Genomic DNA, 26,298 nt, shown 5'->3' with positions numbered 1-26,298 from the left:
TTCAAGTGACACTTTCCCAATAGTTTTTGCAAATGTACTAAGAAGCATTCTACATCTCCCATTTAGTCCCATCCATGAACAAATTACTGTGCTAGGAGAACAGGGTAATCTGATCAGCCTGAGAGTCACTTGTTTATCCTTCCATTCAGGTGCCTAGGATTGGGGCCACTGTAATAGTTGAGTAAGAATGTGTCCCTATCTGGAAATTAAGGTTACTATTAGTAAAAATAGAGGCAATATTAGAAATAGAAGATTGCTCTATAACAGTTTTTATAGATTTTGGAGTGTCCTGAAAAATTTCCTTGTATTGCTGGATCCAGTAAAGTTGTCTAGGAACAATATTTCACAAAAAAATTATAATTGAATGGTGACATTACTTACAAAATGATTTTGGTCAGTTTATGTGTCTCTGAGTTTGAAAAATTTTGTGACAGAATGTCTTGTAGAGTTACTGCTAATAAAAGAATGAAATAGATTTGTTCCTTTTTCCCCCCTTGTCTTCAAAAGTTAAGAGACCTAAATCAAATGTCAATATAAAATAACTCCTAGGGCTAAGAAAAACTTATTATGGTATTGTTAAGATAGAGTTGCTCTGTCAGTTAGCTAATTATTGTGTAACAAATTACTTTGAAACTTGGTGATTTAAATCAATAAACATTTTGATTAGAACAAGTCTGTGAGTCAGCCAGGTGGCGTTTCTGGTCTTGACTGGGCTCATTTATGAATCTGCATTTAGCAGCAGGTCAGGAAGGTGGCTCTGCTTCTCTTGGCTGGGTTCTCTGATATATTTGGGCATTGACTGGCCATAAGGTTGATCTAGGATGGCCTATATTGAGCTGGCTGTAGTTTGGTCTAGGATGTGCTGTGACGTCTGGGATACCCTCCCATTCTGAAGCAGATGAGAGTTGGCTTGTTATCATGGTGGTGGCAAGGTTTTGAAGGAAAGAGCAGAAGTATACAATGTCTCTTGAAGCCTAAGCTCAAAACTGGCAAACTGAAATCTGCTGGATTCCACTGGTGTTTCTTATAAGGTCAATCCCAGATTTAAGAGATCAGGGAGAGGATGCTACTTCTTTTTTCTTTTTATTTTTTAAGAGACAGGGTCTTGCTCTGTTGACCAGGCTGGAATGCAGTGGCACAGTCAGAGCTCACTGTAACCTCAAACTCCTGGGCTCATGCAATCCTCCTGCCTTGGCCTCTTGAGTAGCTAGGACCACAGACATGCACCACCACACCTGGCTAATTTTTGTATTTTTGTAGAGGCAGAGTCTCCTTGTGTTGCTCAGGCTGCTTGAACTTCTGGCTTCAAGTGATCCTCCTGCCTTGACCTCCCAAAGTGCTGGGATTACAGGCATGAGCCACTGCACCTGGCGGACCACCTCTTGATGAGAGAAACTACAAAATTTCCTTGCCAAATACATGGATAACGAGGTGAAACAGAATTGGGCTATTCACAATCAGGCTTTTTGTTTCAGTTGGTAAAATTAGATTAATTTTCAATGTTTAATTCTGAACTCATATTTCAGTAAGAATTGTTTGCATATAGAAATTGGGGCAGGTACAAATTTTGTATATCAATCTGTCCAGTAGTCCAGATTACTCTTTGCTATATTTGTTTCATACATCAGGTCTGATGAGATTTTGGAAGCATTGTTTATAGACTGAATTACCAGTTGTAGGTAGATGTTGGTAAATTAGCAGTTGTTCAAAGGTGATTCATTTATATCTTTTTTTTTTTTTGGTTATAAATGATTTTTTTTGGGTGTACATTTATTATTCTAACTTCGAGATTTGACTTTTTTCTATTTGTTCTTTGTATACTGTGAATTTTTAACAGATTTATTGAAGTATAATTGACATATTAAAAAATCACACTTAAAGTAAACAATTTGAACAGATTTGACGTCTGTATATACCTATGAAATCATTCAAGATAAGCAACATACCCTTTAGTTTCAAAAAGTTTCCTTATGCCTGTTGGTATTCTTCCTGTTTGCCCAGACAGTGAATGATCTGCTTTAGGTCATTTATAAGGTGCTATGCATATTCTGGAATTTTACATAAATCAACACATGCAGTATGTACTCTTTTTGTTTGGAGTTTTTTTTTAACTCAACGTATTTTTTTTGAGATTCATTCATGTTGCATATATCATTAGTTCAGTCCTACATATTCTGTTGCAGGTGTTTAATGTGAGGATTCACCTGTTGGTGGACATTTTTCCGCTAGTGTTTCAATATTACAAATAAGGATGGTATGGACATTTGCATACAAATCGTTTGACATGGTTTGGCTCTGTGTCCCTACCAAATCTCATGTTGAATTGTAATTCCCAATGTTGGAGAAGGGACCTGGAGAGAGGTGATTGGATCATGGGGACAGATTTCCACCTTGCTGTTGTTGTGGTAGTGAGTGAGTCTTCACGAGATCTGGTTGTTTAAAAGTGTGTAGCACTTCCCCCCCTTCACTCTTATTCTCCTGCTCCACCATGGTAAGATGCGCTTGCTTCCCCTTTGTCTTCTGCCATGATTGCAGGTTTCTTGAGGCCTTTCCCAGCCGTGCTTTCTGTACAGCCTGCGGAACTGTGAGTCAGTTAAACCTCTTTTCTTCATAAATTACCCAGTCTCAGGTAGTTCTTTATAGCAGTGTGAGAATGGACTAATACATCATTGTATGGACATATGCTTTCATTTGTTTGGACAAATACCTAGGAGTTTCCACTCCATGACTGGATCCTGTAGTAGGTGTATGTTTGACATTTTAAGAAATGGTGAAACTTTTACAAAGTGGTTGTACCATTTTATCTTCTCATATGAATGTATGAAAGTTTTAGTTCCTCCACTTGTTCACCAACACTTGGTATGGTTGGTCTTACTAATTTAGCCATTCTTATAGCTGTGTAGTGATAACTCTTTGTGCCTTTAATTTGCAGTTTCCCAGTAACAAATGATACTGAGCATCTTTTGATATGCTTGTCATTCATGTATTGTTGCCGAAGTGCTGCTTCAAATTTTCTGCCTATTTTGTAATTGGGTTGTTTTATTATTGAAGGTGTTAAAAGCAGGTTTATTGAGGCATAATTGACATGTAATAAAGTACACATATTTAAAGTATACAGTGAGAAAAATTTTGACACATATATATACTCAGGAGGCCACAAACAGGATGATGAATATATTCATCACCCGCAAAAGTTCTCCTGGTGCCACTTTGTAGTTCTTCTCCACCACGTTCCTTTTTGGGGGTCTGTCTCTTTAACAGCATATAGTTCAGGATTACTTTGTTTTCCCACTGAGGCAAGACTCCTTTTTGTCTGGTGTTAACGTGAATCAGGAGATTTTCCACTCTTAAGAGAACAGGTACTATTTCTGGTGCTGTGTAAGACTAGGGCAATTCCCTTTCATCCTTTTGGGTGACTCTTCCTTGCTTGGATAGTTTCCACACAGAGTTGCTCTAATCATTATGTAGCTAGATACTTGAGGGCGTTCTTTGTGGAATTATCTTCTCTTCAGTACTCTGCCCTCATGACTTCTTTAGGCTTTTAGCTCAGTCTCCTCAACTCAAGGATTACCACCAGATTCTGCATAGATACTCTTTTCCTTGGGCAGGGATCTGTACTTTCTCCAGGCAGTAAGTTTGCTCACCTTGTTTCCCTTTCAGGGTTCACCATCAGGGGTTGCCTAATGTCTAATATATGAAAACTATTGTTTCATATGTTTTCTGATTTCTTGAGTTTTCAGGGAGGAAGGCAAACCCAATTCCTGTTACTCCACCTTGGCTCTTATATGTACTTTCTACTCTTCATATTTATCTTTTATTTTGGTAAAAAACACATAACAGTAAATTTGCCATCTTAACTGTTTTTAAGTATACAGTCTAGTAGTGTTAAGTGTATTTACATTGTGTAACAGGTCTCTAGAACTTTTTCACTTTGGAAAAGAGAAACTCTGTGTCTGTTAAACACTAATTTCACTTCCTCTCTCCCCCAGATTTTGACAACCACTCCACTTTCTGTGATTTTTGACTATGTTAGGTATCTCATGGATGGAATCATATAGTATTTGTCCTTTGTGATTGGCTTATTTCAGTTATAATGCCCTTGAGGTGATTGAGGTTCATCCATGCTATAGCATGTGACACAATTTCCTTCTGTTTTAAGGCTGCATAATACTCCATTGTATGTATACACATTCCCTTGATCTGTTTATACATTGGTGGACAGTGGGTTTCTTCCTTCTCTTGGATCTTGTGAATAATGCTGTTGTGAACATGGGCATGTAAATATCGTTTTGAGATTCTGCTTTGGATTCTTTGTGTATATGCCCAGAAGTGGGATTGCTGGATCATATGGTAATTTAACTTGAAATTTTTTGAGGAACTGTCATGTTTTTCATAATGGCTGCACTATTTTATATTTTCCCCAACAGTGCACCAAGGGTTCCAGTTTCTCCACATTCTCGCCAACACTTGTTATTTCCTGGGTTTTTAAAAATAACAGCCTCTAGTGGATGTAAGGTGATATCTTGTAGTTTAGATTTGCATTCTCTGATGACTGGTGATGTTGAGTATCTTTTCTTTCTTACAATATTTTTTTTGGAACAGGGTCTTGCTATATTGCCCAGGCTGGAGTGCAGTGGCACAATTATGGCTCACTCCAGCTTTGACCTTCCAGGTTCAAGTGATCCTCCCACCTCAGCCTCTCAAGTAGCTGGTACTACAAACGCGTGCTACCACACCTATTTATTTTTTTTAGTAGAGACAAGGTCTTGCCATGTTGCCCAGGCTAGTCTCAAACTCCTGAGCTCAAGCGATCCTCCCACCTCAGCCTCTCAGAGTGCTGGGATTACAGTCATGAGCCACTACACTGGGCTGAGCATCTTTTTGTGTGCTTGTTTTATATGCTGTCTTTGGAGGATTGTCCATTGAAGTACTTGGCCCATTTTTAAATTCAGTCATTTCTTTTTTTGTTGTCAAGTTCATTATATTACATATTTTGGATTTTAACCTCTTATCAGATACATGATTTGCAAATATTTTCTCCCAGTCTGTAGGTTGTCTTTTCACTCCATTGATTACTTCTTTTGATGTACAGAAGTTTTTAACTTTTAATGTAATTCCATTTTTTGTTCCCTGTGCTTTTGGTGTCATGTTCAAGAATTCATAGCTAAATCCAGTGTCCCGAAGCCTTCCCCTATGTTTTCTTTAATAGTTTTATTGTTTTAGTTCTTATGCTTTGGTCTTTATCCATTTTGAATTAATTTTTGTATGTGGTGTAAGTAAGGGTCCGACTTCATTCTTTTTCACGTGGATATTGGATTTCCCAGTACCATTTGTTGAAAAGACTGTCCTTTCCTCTCTGTATAGTATTGGCCCCCTTGTCAAACACCATTTGACTAGAAATGCATGGGTTTATTATTGGGCTATCTATATTTTGTTTCATTGGTTTATATGTCTTTTTATGCTGGCACCATTGTTGTCTTGATTACTATTTGTATTTAGTATGTTTTGAAATCAGGACATGTAAGGCCTCCAACTTTGTTGTTCTTTTTCAAGTTTGTTTTGGCTCTATGGGGTCCTTTGAGATTCCATATGAATTTAAGGATAGGTTTTCCTGTTTCTGCAAAAATGCCATTGGGACTTTGACAGGGATTGCATTGAATCTGTAGATTGCTGTGGGTAGTATGGACATTTTAACAATAAATCTTCCAATCTGTGGGTACAGTGTGTTTCCATTTATTGGTATATTTTATGGTTTCTTTCAGCAGTGTGTTATAGCTTTCAGTGTACAAGTCTGTTGGATCCTTGGTTAATTCCTAAATATTGTATTCTTTTTGATACTATTGTACATGGAATTGTGTTAATTTCTTTTTCAAATTGCTCATTGAAATACAATTGATGTTTGCATGTTTGTGTGCTTTTATTTTTTGTATCCTTTAACTTTGCTGAAATGATTACTTCTAACATTTTTTTTCTTGAAAATTTAAGAGTTTTCTGCATATAAGGTCACATCTGAGAACCAGGGTAATTTTACTTCTTTCCAATTTGAATGCATTTTATTCTTTTTTCTTGTCTAATTGCTCTGGCTAGGACTTCCACTACTGTGTTGAATAGAAATGGTGACAGTAGGCATCCTTGCTTTGTTCTCTATCTTAGAGGAAACGCTTTCAGTCTTTCACGGTTGAGTGTGATGTTAGCTGTGGGCTTTTCATGTATGGCTTTTATTATGTTAAACTTTCCTTCTATTTCTATTTTGTTTTCATATGTTTAATTGTCCTTGCATTCCAGGAGTAAAGCCCACTTGGTCATGATGTGTAATCCTTTTAATGTGCTGCTGAATTTGTTTTGCTCCTATTTTGTTGTAGATTTTTGCATCAGTATTAATCACAGATATACGTCTATAATTTTGTTCTTGCTTGTTGTGTCTTTGTCTGGTTTTGGTGTCAGGGTAATGCTGACCTTATAGAATGAATTTGAAGTATTCCCTTCTTTTGAATTCTTTATGAGTTTGAGGAAGATTGGTGTTAATTCTTATTTAAATGTCTGGTAGAATTCTCTAGCAAAGCCATCTGGTCCTGGGCTTTTCTTATTTGGTAAGTTTTTGATAACTGCATCCAATCTCTGTTTACTAGTTATAGGCCATTCAGAGTTTTTATTTTTCATGTCCTCGTTTTGCTAGGTGTACATTTTTAGGAATATACCAATTTGTTCTAGATTATTCAATTGTTGATGTATAATTGTTCATAATATTCTGTTATAATTCTTCTGGCATCAGTTGTAATGTCCCCTCTTTCATTTCAGATTTTCATTTTTCAAGTCTTCTCTTTTTCTTAGTCTAGCTAAAGAGTTTATTGATTTTGTTGATCTTTTTTTAAAAAAAAAAAAAAAAAAAAACCAACTCTAGGTTTCATTGAGTTTTTTTCTTTCCTTGTCTTCAGTTCTATATTTAGTTGATCTCTGCCCTAATATGTATTATTTTTCTCCCTTCTGCTACTATTTGGTTTAGTTTGTTCCTCTTTTTTCTAGTTCCTTGAGATATAAAGTTAGGTTGTTGATTTGTGGGTTTTTTTTTTTTTTAAACATGTAAGCTTTTGCTACCATAAACCTCTCTCTTAGTACTGCTTTTGTTGCATCTCATAACGTAATGGTTTGTTGTGTTTTTGTTTTTGTCTCCGGATATTTAAAAAATTTCTTTGTAATTTCTTTGACCCATTGGTTGGGTAAGAGTAAGTTTTTTAATTTCCACATGTGTGGATTTTCTTGTTTTCCTTCTGTTATTGGTGTTTAGTTTCATTTCACTGTGATTAGAGAAGATAGTTGGTATGATTTCAGTCTTAAATTTATTCAGATTTGTTTTGTGACCTACCTTTTATATAATTTTAATGTGTTTCTGAACTTTCGGAGTTAATTCTGAAGACTTTTCTGAATTGTCAGTGTTTAGTTTTCTAAAATATGTTCATGTCTCTTCAGCATATTTACAATATTTTTGAAAATTAATAGACATTCTTTTTTAAAAGTTTTAGATTTACAACAAATTTCAGCAGGATAGTATACTGTTCCCATATTCTAACCACCCCTTCCAACTGTCATTTTTCCCTGTTGTTAACATCTTACATTAGTACAGTACATTTGTTACAGTTAATGAACCAATATTGACACATTATTATTAACTAAAGACCATAGTTTATTCAGATTTTCTTAGTTTTTACCCAATGTTCTTTTTGTGTTCCAAGATATATTACATTTAGTTGTCGTTTCTTCCTAAGTTTCTGAAGACTTTGTTTTTGATGACCTTATGAGGTTTTTTTTTTGTTTTTTGTTTTTTCTTTTCACCTTAACAGTTTTGAGGAATATTGGTCAGATATACTCTATGATCTTCTATTGGAATTTGTCTGATGTTTTTCTCATGATCAGACTGTGGTTATGGGTTTTTGGGAGGATGTGTTATACTTGACATTTTAGTATTCAGGTGTTCTCTTAGAATACTGCTTGAAGCAAAACCAGCGGTGCCAACTGCTTTTAAGTTTTATCCTCTTTTTTTGTACCCCCTCCCACTTATATAAGTAATATTCCAATTATATTTCTTAGGTGTAGATTTTAAAATACTTTCTATCATACTTGTTTGTAAAATCTTTTTTTAAAAAAATTTATTTGCTATTATCAAAAAGACAAAAGATAACAAATGTTGGCAAGGATGTGGAGAAAGGGAGCCCTTGTGTACCTTGTTAGGAATGCAAAATAAACAGCCATTATGGAAAACAGTATGGCACTTTCTCAGAAAACTAAAAATAGAATTACCATATGATATAGCAGTCCCACGTCTGGTTATACATCTAAAGGAATTGAAATCAGTGTGCTGAAGAGGTATCTGCATGTCCATGTTCACTACAGCATTATTCACAATAGCTAAAATAGGGAAGCAACCTAGGTGTCCATCATTGGATGAAAGGATAAACGTGGTATATATGCACAATGGAATACTATTCAGTCTTAAGACAGAAAAAAATTCTGTTATTTGCAACAACATGGATGAACCTGGAGGACATTATGCTAAGTGAAATAAACCAGGCACAGAAAGACAAACACCACGTAATCTAACTTACATGTAGAATCTAAAAAAGTTGAACTCATAGAAGTAGAGAGTGAAATGGTGTTTACCTGAGGCTGGGTTGGGGAGTGGATGGGGCAAGAGGAGATGTTGATCAAATGGTACAAAGTTTTATTCAGGAGGAATAAGCTTTAGTGATCTATTGCACAGAATTATGAAATATAGTAATAATGCATGTATATTTTAAAATTGCTAAAAGAGTAGATTTTAAGTGTTTTACCACAAAAAAATAAGTGTGAGGTGATGGATTTGTTAATTAGCATGAATTAATCATTCTACTATGTAAGCATATGTCAAAACATCACATTGTACCCCATAAATAGATAATATATACAACTAGTATTTGTCAATTAAGAATTAATAAAATAAAAATAAAGTGTCTAAAATGTGCTGGTTTAGGTTTGTGGGGAACAAATGCAGTTAAAAGGTTTTTTTTCAGATTTTGGAGAGTACGAGCAAAGCAAGGTAAAATTAAACAGCTTAAGTCAAAGTTTGTATGTGTGTGGTGTTTGTATATGCCTTTATTTTTTATTGTGGTAAAATATGCATAACAAAATTTACCATTTTAAAGTGTACAGTTCTATGGCATTCAAGTATGTTTATATCGTTTGTGCAACCATATATAGTTTTAAAAAATATGCATTGATCTGCTAGGACTGTCATAAAATACTACAGACTGGGTGGCTTACACAACAGAAATTTATTTTCTCACAGTTCTAGAGATGGGAAATTCAAGATTAGGGTGTTGGCAGGTTTTGTTTCTCCTGAGGCATCTCTCTTTTGCAGAGAGCCTGCCCTCTGTGTGTGCATACCTTGTATCTCTTAGAATGATACCAGTCAGGCTGGGCGTGGTGGCTCACGCCTGTAATCCCAGAACTTTGGGAAGCCAAAGCGGGTGGATCACTTGAGGTCAGGAGTTCGAGACCAGCCTAGCCAATATGGTGAAACCCTGTCTCTACTAAAAATAAAAATAAAAAATTAGCCAGGCATGGTGGTGTGTGCCTATAGTCCTAGCTACTTCGGAGGCTGAGGCACGAGAATCGCTTGAACCTGGGAGGCAGAGTTTGTAGTGAGCCTCTGTCTCCAAAAAAAAAAAAGACACCAGTCATATTGGGTAAAGGCCTCATAAGTTACCTTATTTAACTTGATTCCTGAAAGGCTCTCGCTCTAATATAAATTTCTGTTATGTAAGCCACCCAGTCTGTAGTATTTTATGACAGTCCTAGCAGACCAATGCAGTTCGTAACATCTTTTATATAGGGGTGCTTCCAGTTTATCTCCTTGAGAACTTGCTGTCTTCAGTGTATTAATTTCCTGTGGTTGCTCTAACAAATTACCACAAACTGGTTGGTGTAAAACAATAGAAATTAATTCTCTCACAGTTCTGGAGGCCAGAAGTTCAAAATCAGTATTATTGGGCCAAAATCAAGGTGATGGCAGGGCTTTGTTCCTTCTGGAGGGAGGCTGTAGAAGAGAATCCATTCCTTGCTTCTCCCTGATACTGGTGGGTGCTGGCATTCCTGGCTATGGCCCATGTCCTTCCAGTCTACGAAAGCAGCATTTTCAGTTCTCTCTGCCATGTCTTCTTCTTCTTCCTCTTTTTTGGAGACAGAGTCTTGCTCTGTTGCCTAGGCTGGATGCAGCGACGTGATCTTGGCTCATTGCAACCTCCGCTTCCTGAGTTCAAGCAAGATTATCCTGCCTCAGCCTCCTGAGTAGTTGGGACTACGGGCGCGTGCCACCACGCCCAGCTAACTTTTGTATTTTTAGTAGAGACGGGGTTTCACCATGTTGGCCAGGCTGGTTTCGAACTCCTGACCTCAGGTGATCTGCCCACCTTGGCCTCCCAAAGTGCTGGGATTACAGGTGTGAGCCACTGTGCCCGGCCTCTCCGCTTGTCTTCTCATTGCCTTCAGTGTGTGTCTCGTTCTTATAAGGATACATGTGATTGCACTGTGGTCCACCCAGATAATTCGGAATAATCCTCCCTCTCAAGATCCTTAATTTAATCATATCTACAAAGACTTCTTCTTTTTTTTTTTTTTTTTTTTGCCATATGAGGTAACATTGTCAGATTTCAGGGATCAGGGTGTGGAAGTCTTTTGTGGGGCAATAGTTCAGCTTATCCCACTCAGTCGTTTATAATAGACTTTTAATGTTCTTACTTTTATTTTATAGTTTAGTTTTTAACAGGCCCCCATGTCCACTTCTGGGTTGGTGGGAGATGATGGCATTGGGTGGCAGAGAAAATATCTCATCTTTTCTAGATACGATGCAGAAAATTCTAGGTCTGTGGTTCTAGGAAGGACAAATCAGAGATGATAGTTTGGAAATAAAACAGTTAAAGTAACCTAGCTTGAGAACAGAGGTAGGTGTGGTGGTGCTATTTTTTAAAGAATAGAGAATTTAGAAGAGTCACAAGCTAGTTTCAGGTATGGGGAGGAGGAGATATGTAGAGTGTGGGACATACTGAGTTTTCAGAAGTTCTGAAATATGGTAAAATTAGTAATGGTGGATATATTTTTGGCAAATGCATGTTCAGTGGATTGTTGGTGTAGAAGTCACTTTATACTAGATTAAAGATTAAATTGAAGATGGGGAGTATTGATACATTCTATTCTCTAGAATAATGATGCTTGGCATTTAGTAAGTAATCAGTGTTGGCTATTATGATAATTACTGTGGTTGCTCTAACAAATTACTTTGTTATATACTTTTATGTGTATATACTTTTATGTGTTCCAATACTATAACATTTTTGTCTTCAGCTGTTTGGTGTGTGTCTTGATATGTACATAATATTAAATAAATACTGATCTAGAAAGATGTGTGTTTTAGTAATTATTTTAATTATTGCCATTGCCATACTATTAAAATTAATGAAAACAATTTAGAATTTTTTTTAAAAAAAAGAATTAGTTTCAATTTCTCATTTGAATAGATTATTATTTCTCAAAAAAAGCAGTGAGGTTGGGGGGCACTTAGCAATAGTTTCCTAAAGATTAAAATGATGGTATTCTGGTTGAATGGTTTTTTTATGTTATATCAAGAAATATAATTTGGTTTGTGTTTTTTCATTTAAAATAATAGTGTATTGTAGCTATGGTTATTCATGCCTGAAACAAAAAATTAAACCTTGGTCATTGTGTGTATTTCTTTCAGGTTTGATTTAATTTTGGATGAGATCGTTCTTGCAGCAAGATGTTAATAAGACAAAATCTAGGTAAGTAGAAGACTGCTTTGTTAAATGTACATATCAAGGTAGGAATAATACAAAAAAATTATGTCTTAAAAATGTGGTGTTGAGTTCAGAACCAAAGAGTTTTTAAATAAAATTTTGAAATGCAAATAATTGACTTTTTGACACACTTGGTCCAGTTGATTTGATGGGAGTAAAATTATAACTATCACATTGTGGAACTAAATTTTTAGTTTCCTTCTTTTGTGTTGAGGTTAACTAAAGCATTCAAGTTTCCAGTGAATATTCTAAAATGTTAGAAAATCAAGTTAATGTTTGGTTCAGCCACTCTTATTGAACTCTGACCACTTCAGTAAGACATTTATTGTGTCACTTCATTGTTCTCTCCTTTGTTGATAAAGTATATGAATAGTCATTGCTTTTGTGAATTTTGCTTCATTTTTAATGTTAAGGAAGCACTTTCCCAAATGGGATAAATTTGCCAAATTGTGATTTCTTTCTGTTAATATAGTATTCAAAATTGTAAATTATTGTTTTAATGTTTTCCTAGTGGGTGTCTCTACTGAATGACCTCTCTAATATAGCATTCTGATTAGCTTTCTAAGGCTGTTCACTTTTAAAAAATTGAATTGGCATCATGTACTTTGGTATGTGAAAGAATGCTTTTTAATAATATAAGCCGTTGACATGTTTTAAAAAGATACATTTACTATTTATTGGTAAGTGAATATGGCTTCAAAATGGAAACAAGGGAAAAAGAACATTGAAAAAATTGGAGTTAACTTGGTTTTCCCTCTAACCAGATGTTTCAGCTGTCAAAAATTTGCTGATCTCAATGTTTGTTAAAGAAAAAAAAAGTCTAGGATGAAAAGTGCTGTAGTTCAGTAATATGCACTGAAGGAAATCTCAGTCAGTGGTTTGGGCATGTTTTGAAGCAAAATTTTGCTTTTATTGCTATTATATAATAATAACAGTAGTGGTAGTTTGAAGAGTACTTATTGTGCTCTAAATTCTGTTAAGTGCTTGTCATACCTTATTGATCGTTATAGTACCTCCTCTTGTTGTGTAGAAAAATTTTATTTTTTGCTTTATAGTGGGCTGTTTTTCTTTAGGAATAATAATTTACTTCTGTAGCATTTATTAGAAATAACACTTGCCTATGTATCTTCTTAAAGTGGAGAAGAAGCCATTCTTTTGTACTTGAAGGTCTTATTAGGGTTTGTTTTCTAGTTGAATATACAGTGTCTGTTAAAACTTTTGTTCTGATTTTCTATGTTTGATATTGCTTGTGGGATGACACTGGTTTAACTTATTCTGACCTTATTTTTCACCATGCTTATATATGTAGTTTTTTCTTTTTTATTATGGTATAGTTTACATATATATGGTAACATAAAATTTGAGGTATAGAGCTGAATGACTTTTCACATACACATTCATATGTGTAACCACCATCTAGATCAAGATATAGAACATTTCATTACTTTGGAAAGTTCCTTGTGCTTTCCCCGCTTCCAGTCTAATAGCCTTTTCCCCTGAAGTAATCATCTTTCTGAATTCTGTCAGCATAATTTAGTTTTGCCTGTTCTTGGATTTTATATATAGTATGTACTCTTGTATGTGGCTTTTTCATTCAACATAATGTTCTTGAGCTTCATCTATGTTGTGACTATGTCAGCAGTTCATTATTTTTTATTGCTGTTTTATTTTTAGTAATATTCCATTGTATGAACACACTACAAAGTATTTATGTTTTCTCAGTGATTTGGTTTATTGGATTCTCCATATCTCTGTTCCTACTTGCTAACTTTTTTATACTCTTTTCCTTCTTCTACCTGTCTCTTTAATTGTCCCCCATCACTTTCAGAATAAAATGTAGTAAACCTTATAACACGGCATGCAGTTATCTCACCGTAGCTATGCCAGAATGCTGAGGATTATATGAATAAACTAAGTATGATGTTTCATATTCCTAGTTCTAGTCCTAGGTACATGTTGTCACTTTCCCTCAATCCCATGCCTCCCCAGTTGCCAGAGACCTCTTTGCTAGTTGTCAGCTTATCTTCTGAAATAGCCTATCTGAAGCATCATCTGATCCTTTAAGCCATGCCTGGCCGTAGTTTGTCTTCTTTATTAGAGTATGAGTTTGAAGGTAGATACCATCCATGTCTCGTTTATCTTAGCACAGTGCTGGGAATACTGTGTGCATTCAGTAAATGTTTTGTTAAACATTGACCAATGAAAAGAGTTCTCCCAGGCAAATAGAGATTCAGAATGCTAGCTGGAATGGGATGGGGGCATTGGCACTTGAGTTGCTGTTGGGCCATAGGAAGGAGCCACTGAGGATAATCCACAGACAGCATTATAGACATTTTAGAAAGAGAAATAAAATATTTCCCAAGTCTTCATTCAATCCAGTTGAAATACAGTGGCTAGTAAAATATTCTTAATTCAGACCTAAAGTAAGACTGTCATTGTTGATTTTGATTAGTATTTCCAAGTGGAGGTATTAATCCATGTTGCAGAAATTTGAAGTGTTTGCTATGAAGAGTATTTTCTTTGTGGGTTTGTACTAGTTATTTCTTTAAAGATTTTGGAATGTTAGACTAATACAAGTAGAAGATTGGGAACACTAGTCACACGTGTAAGAAGTGAAGAAAACTTTTCCTTATTTCTCTGAAGGTAAAAAACTGTTAGGATGGAGGAAGAAATTGTAGAATCATAGCCTGGAACTGTGATAACATTTTTGATTCCCACAGCTTAGGAAGCTTGCTATTTGTTTAAAGGTACTTAAATTTTTTTAAATTGTAGATATGTAATGTAGCATATATAAACTATATACTTTTTTTGTTTTGTTTTTGAGATGGAGTTTCGCTCTTGTTGCCCAGGTGGGAATGCAATGGCACAGTCTCAGCTCACTGCAACCTCTGCCTCCCAGGTTCAAGCAATTCTCCTGCCTCAGCCTCCCAAGTAGCTGGGATTACAGGCATGCGACACCACACCCAGCTAAATTTGTATTTTTTAAGTAGAGATGGGGTTTCACTATGTTCGTCAGGCTAGTCTCGAACTCCTGACCTCAGGTGACCCACCCTCCTTAGCCTTCCGAAGTGCTGGGATTACAGGTGTGAGCCACTGCACCTGGCCTAAACAATATACTCTCTTAAGAAATAACACACTTCTTAAATTTTAAAGCATTTTGACTAGTGGTTCTTTTTTTTTCTGTGTTTGAAATTTGGCTAGTTGGGTTGGCTATAGTAATCATCTGGAGATTTTTATGCCTGAAGCTTGATTGCCCTCTAGCAAGTCCAAAGCAAGAAGAGGTTCTTCCCCACAGGGATCAATTTGTTGCTTTTCCTTTCTGCAGCTTCTGCCATAATGTTTGAACACAGAGTTAGACGTTGACATTTTCTCATGCTGTTCCTTCTGTCTTCCCACAAGGGTTTTCTTAGACATAGATTCTTACCGTATATAGACCTTGGTTCTTTTTTTTTTTTTTTAAATCCTGATTGTGAAGTGTGTTTAGTCATGTTGTTGGTTAGAGTTGAGGAGCCAGAGAAATTTAACCTTGAGATTGCCTAACTTACATGTCTCCACAAAGACTTTAGACTAATTTTTCTTCTCAGAGGCTGCTAGCTGTACCTCCGTTGCAGAGTCTTCGTCTTCATTTTGTGCTTCAATATTTAACATAGGCAGCTGCTGCTAAGACTGCAGAATCCCCGAATCCAAGGATTTGAAATTCTTTATGGATATTTGTCTTAGATTAATTTCTCTAATTTCTAACTTAACCTCTCTGTACTTCAGTTTCTTTAGTAGCATTGTAGATGTGCTGCCCTTTGTTGTAGCATGAAAAAGAAGACTTTTTAATTAATAAAATTCTTTGTCCTTCATTCTAGATGAGATTGTACAACGTACATTGACCCTTTCCAGCTGTATTGCCAAGTAACAGTTAGTATTTAGTATTTCACTTTTTTTTTTTTTTTTAAGACAAAGTTTTGCTCTTGTTGCCCAGGCTGGAGTGCAATGGCACTATTTTGGCTCCCTGCAACCTCCGCCTCCTGAGTTCATGCGTTTCTCCTGCCTCAGCCTCCTGAGTAGCTGGGACTATAGGTGCATGCCACCACACCTGGCTAATTTTAGTATTTTTAGTAGAGATGGGGTTTCACTGTGTTGGCCACGCTGGTCTCAAACTCCTGACCTCAGGCGATCCACCGGCCTCAGCCTCCCAAAGTGCTGGGATGATAGGCGTGAGCCACTGCACCTGGCCACATTTAGTATTTTCAAAATATAAATTTTTTATAAAAGTCACATGTGACCTTATGAGCAAATAGTACAGCAATGTTTAAAGTAAAAAGTAAAACTCTTCTCTCCCACCCAGCACTATACTCCCCATAAGTTACCAAAAATAGCTGGTATGTATTCTACATCTTTTTCTTTCTGCTTATCAATATATTTTGGACATTTTTCCATATATTTACCACATTTATTATAACTGTTACCTTATTAATATTTAGGTAAGTCTCAGGATTTTTTGCCTGTATATAAGTACTGCTGCAATAAATATTTTTGATGGTATTAACGGGAGTGTGTGAGAGTGTCAGGATAATTTGTAGCAGTAGATTGCTGGATCAAGGATATGTGCCCTTTAACTTCTGATGTAATAAAACTGCAATGAGGTTGTACCACTTAATACTCTTATTGCTAGTTTATGAGAATATCTGTTTTCCCACATTCTGCTAAATATTTGTTTTATCCTTGCTAGTCTAATTGGTGGAAAGTGGTATTTATTTTACTGGGCATTTTTTAAATTGTGAGAGTGCTCAAAGGTTTGAAATATCACCTTCATTACAACTTAAGTTCTGTTGGAGAATATATGTGAAGATTTTTATTTTTTACTGTTAAGTCCATCAGTTCCATCAATTAACATACCTTTGTGTTTTAGGTATTACAGTCAAAGTTATTTAATATTGAATAATCAGATTATTTGCCTTTTTTTCCCTTCATACTATTTTTTTAGGATAAATATTTCCTTATGGTAAATTTCTTTATAGTTTGCTACAAACTAACATCAGCATAGCCTGTAAATAAAAAGAAAATAAAAGCCATTACTAAATATTAGGTTCATTAAGTCTAGATTGATAGCAGACTGCTTAAAATCTGATGTCTTTTACAACGCAATCATTAGAATACTTTGCTTCTTTGTGGTTATTTTTTACTATCCTTATTATGTATGATAAGCTACAGTTGTTAGTCTTAATTCCAGCTTTAATGTGAGTGAACTCCTTTTTTTTTTTAAGTATTTAATTCTAGAAAACTTAAATACTTAAATTTACAACCAGAAAAAAAGAGCTGAGAAAATCCTTAATGTTTCTGTGATGGATTTCTCTGAGTTATTTTTACAAATTGGCATATTTTGGTATTTTTTAATAGTATTTTCTAGTGTGATGCCTTTATTCCTAGATATGTTTAAAGTACTATGCCATATTATATAAGGGATTTGAGCATCTGTGGATTTTGGTATCTAGGGGGTTGTCCTGGAACCAATCCCCTTCAGATATGAAGGGTCAACTGTATATCTGTCTGTCTTGATCTACATCTCTTAAAACTCACCCTTGGTTTCACTGTGCTGTTAAATTTGTTTAAAGGGAGGCTACATTGTTCTCTTTTGAAGTTGAGCTGTCAGTAGTTTTTCCAAAGAAAGTTTCAGCCATGCTTGTCTTTAGTATAAAAGTTTCTATCCAAATCTGAAATGTTTTTAAACCTAACAAAGGCTAAGCGGCAAATATCATTCCAATATGTGAACAGGAAACCATAAAACTGCTCCTTCAGACCAAAGAATTTTGCCATGGCTATACTTTAGCCTTCTATGATTGGTCTAAACTGTAAATAAAAGTGCTAAATAAAACAAGGCATTCAGTAAGCCTTTATTGAAATCTAATATTCTAGGCACTGTGCTATATGTTAGGGATGCATTAGTCATTAGAATTCCCAGTACCATGCAACTAGTTATAGTACAAGTGATGAACACAATACTGCCAAGTCTGAGTAGTATAGTGTAGTAGTAGGCCTGAGGAGGACGTTTTTAAGGAAGAAGTCAGGAAAGGCTTCATAGAGCAAGATATCATTTAGAGTTGAAAAAAAGAATAGAATTTTGACCTTGGGAAAATATGGGCAGAGGGGGCATGAACTAAAGCTCTTATTTTAGTTGCTAGACATTATTTCGTAAAAACAGTTTCATTTAACTGGATGTCCATATTGCCAGAGTTACTGGCAGTTTCTTAAATGTACTGAAGTTCACATTTTACCACAGCTTAGGAATTTATTATTTGAACTGTTTCCTTGTGCTATTTTTTCAAACTGTTTAAACAAGTTTAATTTTTTTGAATACACCAAGAAATAAATGATACTGTGAAAGCCTTCATACTCATCATTATTTTGATTATTCTAATGTTACACTTAAGGGTAAGAGATTCAGAAATAATGAATGACTGGCTTGAGGTCAGGTAGATAATTGCAGAAACAGAATTGGAACCTAAGTCTTCTGACCTCTGATTTACTATTCTTTTGAGATGACCATTAAAGTAGATATTTGAGGCCAGGCGTGGTGGCTCACACCTGTAATCCCAGCACTTTGGGAGGCTGAGGCAGGTGAATTGCCTGAGGTCAGGAGTTCAAGACCAGCCTGGCCAACGTGGTGAAACTCTGTCTCTACTAAAAATGCAAAAATTAGCATTATTTGGGTGTGGTGGCAGGCACCTGTAATCCCAGCTGCTTGGGAGGCTGAGGCAGGAGAATCACTTGAACCCAGGAGGCAGAGGTTGCAGTGAGCCGAGATCGCGCCATTGCGCTCCAGCCTGGGAGACAGAGCGAGACTCTGTCTCAAAAAAAAAAAAAAAAAAAGTAGATATTTGAAACTTTTAGGGTCTTCTAACTAGGCTGAAGCCCGTGGGCTCAGTAAATTTTTGTTTAATATTTTATTGATTCATCTGATGTTTTATGAATTGGTGATTGTAATTAAGTTGGTTTTAGATCACACTTTACTAGTCTGAGGAGAAAAGATAACTAAATATGTAATTATAATCAAGTATCATTAGTACTGTGATAGTCTCTGTTCCTGGAAGGCAAGGGCCATGTCTGTTTTATTTCTTAAGATATATTCAGTACTTTAATATAGCTAATACTTTACTCATAGACATTTAATAAATGTCTATTTAATGACTGGATGGAAATATGGCAAGGCCTCCCAGAAGTGACACTTAAACTGAAACTTGGAGGAACTGTTGGTGATTAATGTGGATAAAAAATGTGGGGAAGGACTGTTAGCAGAAGAAATAGCATGTTCAAAGGATGAGAGGTAACAGAAAGGGAAGATTGCTGGAACTGAAATAAATGTAAGTTTTGAATGTAGAGCTCACCGTGGGGTGTGGATGTGGGGAGTGGCTAGTCTCAAGAGATTAGACGAGAGAGTAAGGCTGGGCTATTTTATTGAGGTTTTTATAAACCATTGAAGGAGTTTAAATGTGAGGAAATGACTTTATTCTATCTGTTTTAGCAAATGAACCTAATTAAAATGGGGAGAACAGATCACAGGGAAAGCTGGATTGGATTCAGGATGACTAGTTAGTATGGGGAGCATGCTGGCCTGACTTGAGAGTGGTAGAAGTGGGGATAGAAAGATGTGGTTGGATTTGAGAGAGATTTACACAGCAAAAGAGACCAGCTTTGGTGGTTAATTGTAATGGAGGTGGGAGTAGGAGAATAAGAAAGGAGTTAAGTATGACTCATGTTTCTAGCTGGGCAGTAGTGCTGTATTATTCACAGATAGGAACTGTGAAGAAGAACATTTGGAGAGAACAAGAGCTACATTTTAGATGTATTAAGCTTTAAGTAGCTCAGGACTTCTGAGTAGAAATGTCAGGTGGCAGTTAGATATGAGACCTATCTATAACTCGAGATGTGAGAATCATCAGCGTGAAATCTTAATGTCCCTCAAATTCTTTTTTTTTTGAGACAAGAGTCTTGCTGTATCCCTCAGGCTGGAGTGCAGTGGCGCAATCTTGGCCCACTGCAATCTCTGCCTCCCAAGTTCAAATGATTCTCATGCCTCAGCCTGGGATTACTGGCGCCCACCACCTTGCCCAGCTAATTTTTGTATTTTTAGTAGAGATGGACAGTCATGCAGGAGTATGATTAGAGGACAAAAGGGTATGATCTAATGGTGATAAACTGGGGTGGACTTAGCAGAGCCTGTTTGTTCAGATTCTTCTTGGCATCTCTGTGTGACACATCTATACGGACACCTATCCCATAAAAGTTTTAGGAGAGAAGGGAGAGAAAGTCAGAGAATGACTTTCCTAGATTTTATGGCTTACTTCAGGGGAGAAAAAAATGAGAAAGTCAGAAGAGAGACCTTCCTGCTTCTGCTGTTTTCTCAAATGCCAAGGTGCCATATTTTGGGGGCAGCATTTCCTACATCTCATTACTAGGAAGTCACTTTCTCTTGATATTTATGATTGCAAACTGAGCCACCTATAAATTGAATGACTTAAAAGTATCACAAGATAATGAAGTGCTAAATATTGACGTCTCCTGCAGTGCCCTCTATAGATGACGGGCTCTTCTATTTTTTAAACTGGTAAAAACAAAAATCGTGGTTACCTTATATATATATATGTTTTCTTAAACAAAAGTTTATATGATGTTTACTCTTTCTACACTTAACACAGATATTTTTTGTCTGATGGATTAAAAATAAAAACCATGATAAATGCAGACTTATTTAACATTTATATAGTGCTTACTATCTGCCAGGCACTGTTATAAGTACTTTTTCAATATTAACTCAATCCTCATTTTACAGATAACAAAACTAAAATACGAGTTTAACAATGGAAGACCTAGGATTTGAACGGGGTAGTTTAACTTGAGAGTCTGCTATTAAAGGCTTATGTTATACTGCTCTCAACAGAGTGGTAAAATAATTTAGTAAATATTAAAATAATTCAGTGAAATAACATAAGAAATACTACACAGGAAAATACATAATTACATGTATACTCTTACTTTATTATACTCTCACCCATTTATGTATTATACTCTCACCCATTTTTTCCTCCCTCTCAGGTTATTCTGGAGCAAACCCAGACATATTTGTTATTTATTGATCTCCACCTCATCCCCATTGGTAATTTTTTTCTAGTTTTTTTTTTTATTATGGTAAACTATATGTAACATGAAATTTGCCATTTTAACCATTTTTAAGTGTACAGTTGAGTGTTCCTATATACATTTATAATGTGCACTCATCACCACCATCCATCTTCATAACTTTTTGTCTTGCGAAACTGAAACTCTGTACCCATTAAACAACAATTCCTCCGTTTCTCCTGCTCCTGAGGTCCTGGAAATCACCATTTTTCTCTCTTTGAATTTGACTAAGTGTCTCATAAGCAGAATCATATAGTGTTTGTCTTTTTGTGACTGGCTTATTTCACAAGTGTGATGTTTTCACGGTTCATTCATGTTACAGCATTTTGCAGAATTTCCTCCCATTTTAAGTCTGCATAATACTGTATTGTATGTATGTAACACATGTTGTTTATTTGTCCATTGGTGGACACCTGTGTTGCTTCCACCATTTAGCTATTGTGAACAATGCTGCAGTGAACATGGGTGTACAAATATCTCTTCAAGACCTTGCTTTCAATTTTCAAGGATATATACCTAGAAGTGGAATTGCTGGATCATATGGTAATTCTATTTTTAGTTTTTTGAGGAGCCACCATAGTTTTCTGTAGTGGCTGCACCATTTGACATTCCCACCAACAGTGCACAAATGTTCCTGTTTCTCTCCATCCTTGCCAACACTTGACATTTTGTTTTTTGTTTTTTGATAGTGGCTATGATGTGTCATTATGGTTTTGATTTGTATTTGTCTAATAATTAGTGATGTTGAGCATCTTTTCATATGCTTATTGGCCATATGAATGTCCTTGGAGAAATGTCTATTCAAGTCTTTTGCCCATTTTTTAATCATGTTGTTTTTCTGTTGAGTTGTAGTTCTGTATATGTTCTAGATATTAATCCCTTGTTAGATAACATGATTTGCAGAGATATTTTCTCCCATTCCATTGGTTTTCTTTACTCTGTATCTTTTGTTGCACAAAAATTTTTACATTTTCACAAAGTTCAATTAGTCTTTGTTTGTTTGTTTGTTTAGACAGAGTCTCATTGTGTCGCCCACACTGGAGTGCAGTGGTGTAATGACTTGGTTCACTGCAACCTCTGCCTCTGGATTCAAGTGATTGTCATGCCTCAGCCTCCTGAGTAGCTGGGACTACAGCTGCTTACTTGCATGTTTCATTGTTTTCCAGCCTTTACACTGTATGCTTAAAATGCAAACGGAATAATATAAGAATATAAGAATAATGAGAAGTAATACTTGGAAGTGTTCTGAGAAATGATGAAAAAAGGGCCTGGTTTCTATCTGATTGAAAGGAGGTGAGACTTGGGAGAGCAGTCAGACTCCCTCTCTCCTTCTCACCTCTTCTCCTCATCCCCTCCCCTAAGTGCTCTGGCTAGGAATTCTAGTACAATGTTACGTAGAAGTGGGCTTTTCTTGCCCTGGCGTGGTGGCTCACACCTGTAATCCCAGCACTTTGGGATCCGAGGTGTATGGATCATGAGATCAGGAGTTTGAGACCAGCCTAGTCAATATGGTGAAATCCCATCTCTACCAAAAATACAAAAATTAGCTGGATGTGGTAACATGCACCTGTAATCCCAGCTACTCAGGAGGCTGAGGCAGGAGAATCGCTTGAACCCTGTGGTGGAGGTTGCAGTGAGCCGAGATCACGCCATTGCACTTCAGCCTGGGTGACATAGTGAGACTCTGTCCCCCCACCAAAAAAAAAGAAAGAAAGAAATGTTTGAATATTGCTTTTATTACATTGAAGTAGTTTCCTTCTATTCCTAGTTTGTTGGATCTGTTTATTAACAAAAGGATATTGAATTTTGTCTTTTTTTTTTTTTGCATCAATTGTGATGGTCATGGGTTTTTGTCCATTCTTTTGTTAATGTGCTGTGTTACATTGATTTTTTTTTTTATGTTGATGAACTATCCTTGGATTCCAGAAATAAATCTCATTTGCTTACGGTGTATAATACTTTTAATGTGCTGTTTAATTTTGTTTGCTAGTATTTTGTTTGAGGTTCTCAATCTCTTTTCTACCTGGATAAATGAAGGCATACAGATAATTTTCATAATAAAGCCATACTACAGTGTATATTTATAGTTCAGTGGAATGTAAGTGATAGTGTTTTTTTTTTTTTTTTTTTTGAAATGGAGTCTCGCTCCATTGCTAGGCTGGAGTGCAGTGGTGTGATCTCGGCTCACTGTAATCTCCGCCTCCCGGGTTCAAGTGATTCTCCTGCCTCAGCCTTCTGAGTAGCTGGAACTACAGGCATGTGCCACCACGCCCAGCTAATTTTTGTATTTTTAGTAGAGACAGGGTTTCACCATGTTGGCCAGGATGGTCTCTATCTCTTGACCTTGTGATCTGCCCTCCTCAGCCATATATTTTTTTAATAGATAATCACTTATATACCCTGGTATTTGGTTGTATATGCTTCACACTAATTACAACACTTGATAATCATATGATATCTGAACTCTAGACCATTGTTTTCAATTATGGCTGCACTTTACAATGTCAAAGGAGATATTCGCACACACACCATTGCCAGAGTCATTTAGATTGGAATTTTTCAGAAGGGGACTGAACATTAGTAGTTTTAAAAAAGTCTTCAAGTACAGCAATATTTAAAAATTCTCTAGATTGTTTTGGCTACAAATACAAGTTGTATGGGGTGCTTTAAAAAGTCTATAGGCCTTGGTAAAGTGGAATCAAATTCCAGGGGAGGAGTTGCACAATCTGTCATTTTTAAAAGTTTCCCAAGTTTATCTGAAGCACAGCTAGGTTCTTAGTACTGGTCTAGAATTTTCTCAGCGACAAGAAAGGATAGTTAGCAATTTATTTTGATTAAGATCATTTGCAAGGGCCCTGAATACAGGTTTTCTATTGTATGGGCTGAAAGGAGATCCATATGTTTTAAATGTCAATTATACAGGAGCTAAGTTGTTTACTTAAGGAAATTGACATAGGTGCTTATCCAGATATTAATCTAATTGCTGTATAGGGTTGCAATAATATGAATAGGCAGGACCACCAAATATTTTCTTAGGCAAACTTGTTCTTATGTCTAAACTGGTATTCTGCTCACATCTCAGCATTTAGCATAAAGCATGTTGGAGATGACCTTAGTTTTGTGTTTTCAGAAGATAGAAATATTCATGTATATCACAGTAGAACTTAAATGCAGTGTGATTTAAAACATCTCATTTGTTCTGCCAAGTTGAGCATATTAGTCTGCTAGGGCTGCCATAAGAATCTACAGTAGACCTACCTAATCCGTGGGGGATACATTCCAGTACCTCCAGTGGATGCGAAAACCTCAGTACAGAACCTATATGGGCTGTTTTTTTCCTACATACACATATCTGTGATAAAGTTTAATTTATAAATTAGACACAATGAGAGATTTAAAACAATAATAATAGAACAATTAAGTAAAGTAAGGTTTACTTAGCACAAGCACTACGATACCTAGACAGTTGATTTGATAACTAAGATGGCTAATAGATAGGGAGCATTTACAGCATGGATACACAGGACAAAGGGATGGTTTATACATAACCTGGGTAGGATGGAGCAGGACAGTGTGAGATTACATCACACTACACAGAACTGTGTGCAATTTAAAAGGTTTGAATTGTTTATTTTTGGAATTTTCGATTTAATATTTTCAGACCATAGTTGACTAGGTAATTGAAACCTCAGAAAGCGAAACTGCAGATGAGGGGTGACTATTGTACCACAGACTGGGTAGCCTAAACAATAGAAATTTATTTTCTCACATTTCTGGAGGCTAGAAGTCCAGGATCAAGATGTTTGCAGGCTTGGCTTCTCCTGAGGCCTCTCTCCTTGGCTTGCAGATGGCTGTCTTCTCCGTGTGTCCTTACATGGCCCTTTCTCAGTGCATGCCCATCCTTGGTGTCTCTCTGTATGTCCTAATCTTCTTATAAGGACACCAGTTAGACTGGATTAGGGCCTACCCTAATGGCTTCATTTTAACTTTGTACTAGGGCTTCAACATATGAATTTTGGGGGGAACACAATTCAATCTGTAACATTGCATTTAAAGTGTTGTTCTTTATAGTGAATGAATTAATGAGTGGAGTTAAATTATTTGGAATTATCAGATGCTGCTTACTGAAGAAAATTTGCCAAAAATGATGACTTTGATTTTTGTAATGAATATTTAACCATACTTTTAGAATGTAATAACAAGATGTGGTGCATTGAGTCAGATGTGTGACTTTTGGTTTGCTGTGGCAAGTAAATAGGATAAATGCATCTAGATGTGCATATATGCATTCAAGGTATACTGATAAATGTATCTATTTATCAATATATCTATTTATCTGTATATATTGAAAGGTATCCTTAAAGTATTCAGGAAAAGAATCATAAATCTGAAAGGGAGTTACAGTATACCTTCATGTCATCTATTATACAAAGTTATTTAAAAAATTTATTCAACCCACTTTAAATATTACTGTGATATTTAAGGAAACAGTAAAAATTTGTACTGTCTGTTAAAATTACACAGTTTAATCTGGAGATAGTCATTGTTTAGGTACCAGAAGGCTAATGATACAACAATAAATGTGACAGAGATTTAAATTTTCCTTATTTTCTCAATTCAGAGAAATAGTAGTGATATTAGAACCATTGTAAAAAGTCTGTTTATCACACATCACATTAAAATGAGAGGCTCCCCCCCCAAAACCGAAATATATTAGAATGCTTATATACAGTTTAAAAGCAAATTAGCTAGTTGACAAATTTTTAATTTGGGGGCAAAAAGTTGCCTATGCAATACTATATTTTGACATTACCCTATTGTAAATTATATCTCATAGGCAGCCTTTTAAGTTTTCAGTGCATATCAGTACATTTACATACCTAGGAAATTTTAAAAATTTTCCTGCAAATTCCTACAAAATAACTGATCATGAGGCATGTGAATTAGGTATATCACTAATTGAGATAAGGTGTATAATGACAATTTCTATTACCTTTCATGCACTTTTAAATTGATTGCATGATTGAATATTAAAATAAGCTTGGATTTTTTTTTTTTTTTTTTTTTTTGAGACGGAGTCTCACTCTGTCACCCAGGCTGGAATGCAGTGGTGCAATCTTGGCACACTGCAACCTCCGCCTCCCAGATTCAAGCAATTCTCCTGCCTCAGCCTCCCGAGTAGCAGGGATTACAGGTGCCTGCCACCACTCCTGGCTAATTTTTTTTTTTTTTTTTGTATTTTTTTTAGTAGAGACGGGGTTTCACCATATTGGTGAGGCTGGTCTCGAAC

The 26,298-nt window shown here is 35.9% G+C and overlaps 1 protein-coding gene across 21 annotated transcripts in view, besides 1 other annotated feature; it reads left to right on the top strand.

The window, feature by feature from the left end:
* ZNF644 (zinc finger protein 644) overlaps positions 1-26,298 on the top strand; it is a 106,732-nt gene that overhangs the window by 27,898 nt on the left and 52,536 nt on the right. For all 21 annotated transcript variants that reach the window (NM_032186.5, NM_201269.3, XM_011542258.4 and 18 more), the window contains one exon: positions 11,768-11,828. In NM_032186.5, coding sequence (NP_115562.3) covers positions 11,807-11,828 — 22 coding nt within the window. In that variant the 5' untranslated portion in view covers positions 11,768-11,806. The remainder of the gene's footprint in view (positions 1-11,767; positions 11,829-26,298) is intronic.
* Positions 19,571-20,464: an enhancer, noted in NCBI's record as "OCT4-NANOG-H3K27ac hESC enhancer chr1:91439231-91440124 (GRCh37/hg19 assembly coordinates)". NCBI's record gives its function as "activates a minimal SCP1, AML or CMV promoter by ChIP-STARR-seq in naive H9 embryonic stem cells {active_cell/tissue: H9 hESC(naive)}" and the evidence as "EXISTENCE:reporter gene assay evidence [ECO:0000049][PMID:30033119]".

This window comes from Homo sapiens, chromosome 1, assembly GCF_000001405.40.
Source record: "Homo sapiens chromosome 1, GRCh38.p14 Primary Assembly".
Lineage (NCBI taxonomy): Eukaryota > Metazoa > Chordata > Mammalia > Primates > Hominidae > Homo > Homo sapiens.
Note: the sequence above shows the minus strand (reverse complement) of the source record. Positions and strands in the feature narration are given on the sequence as shown.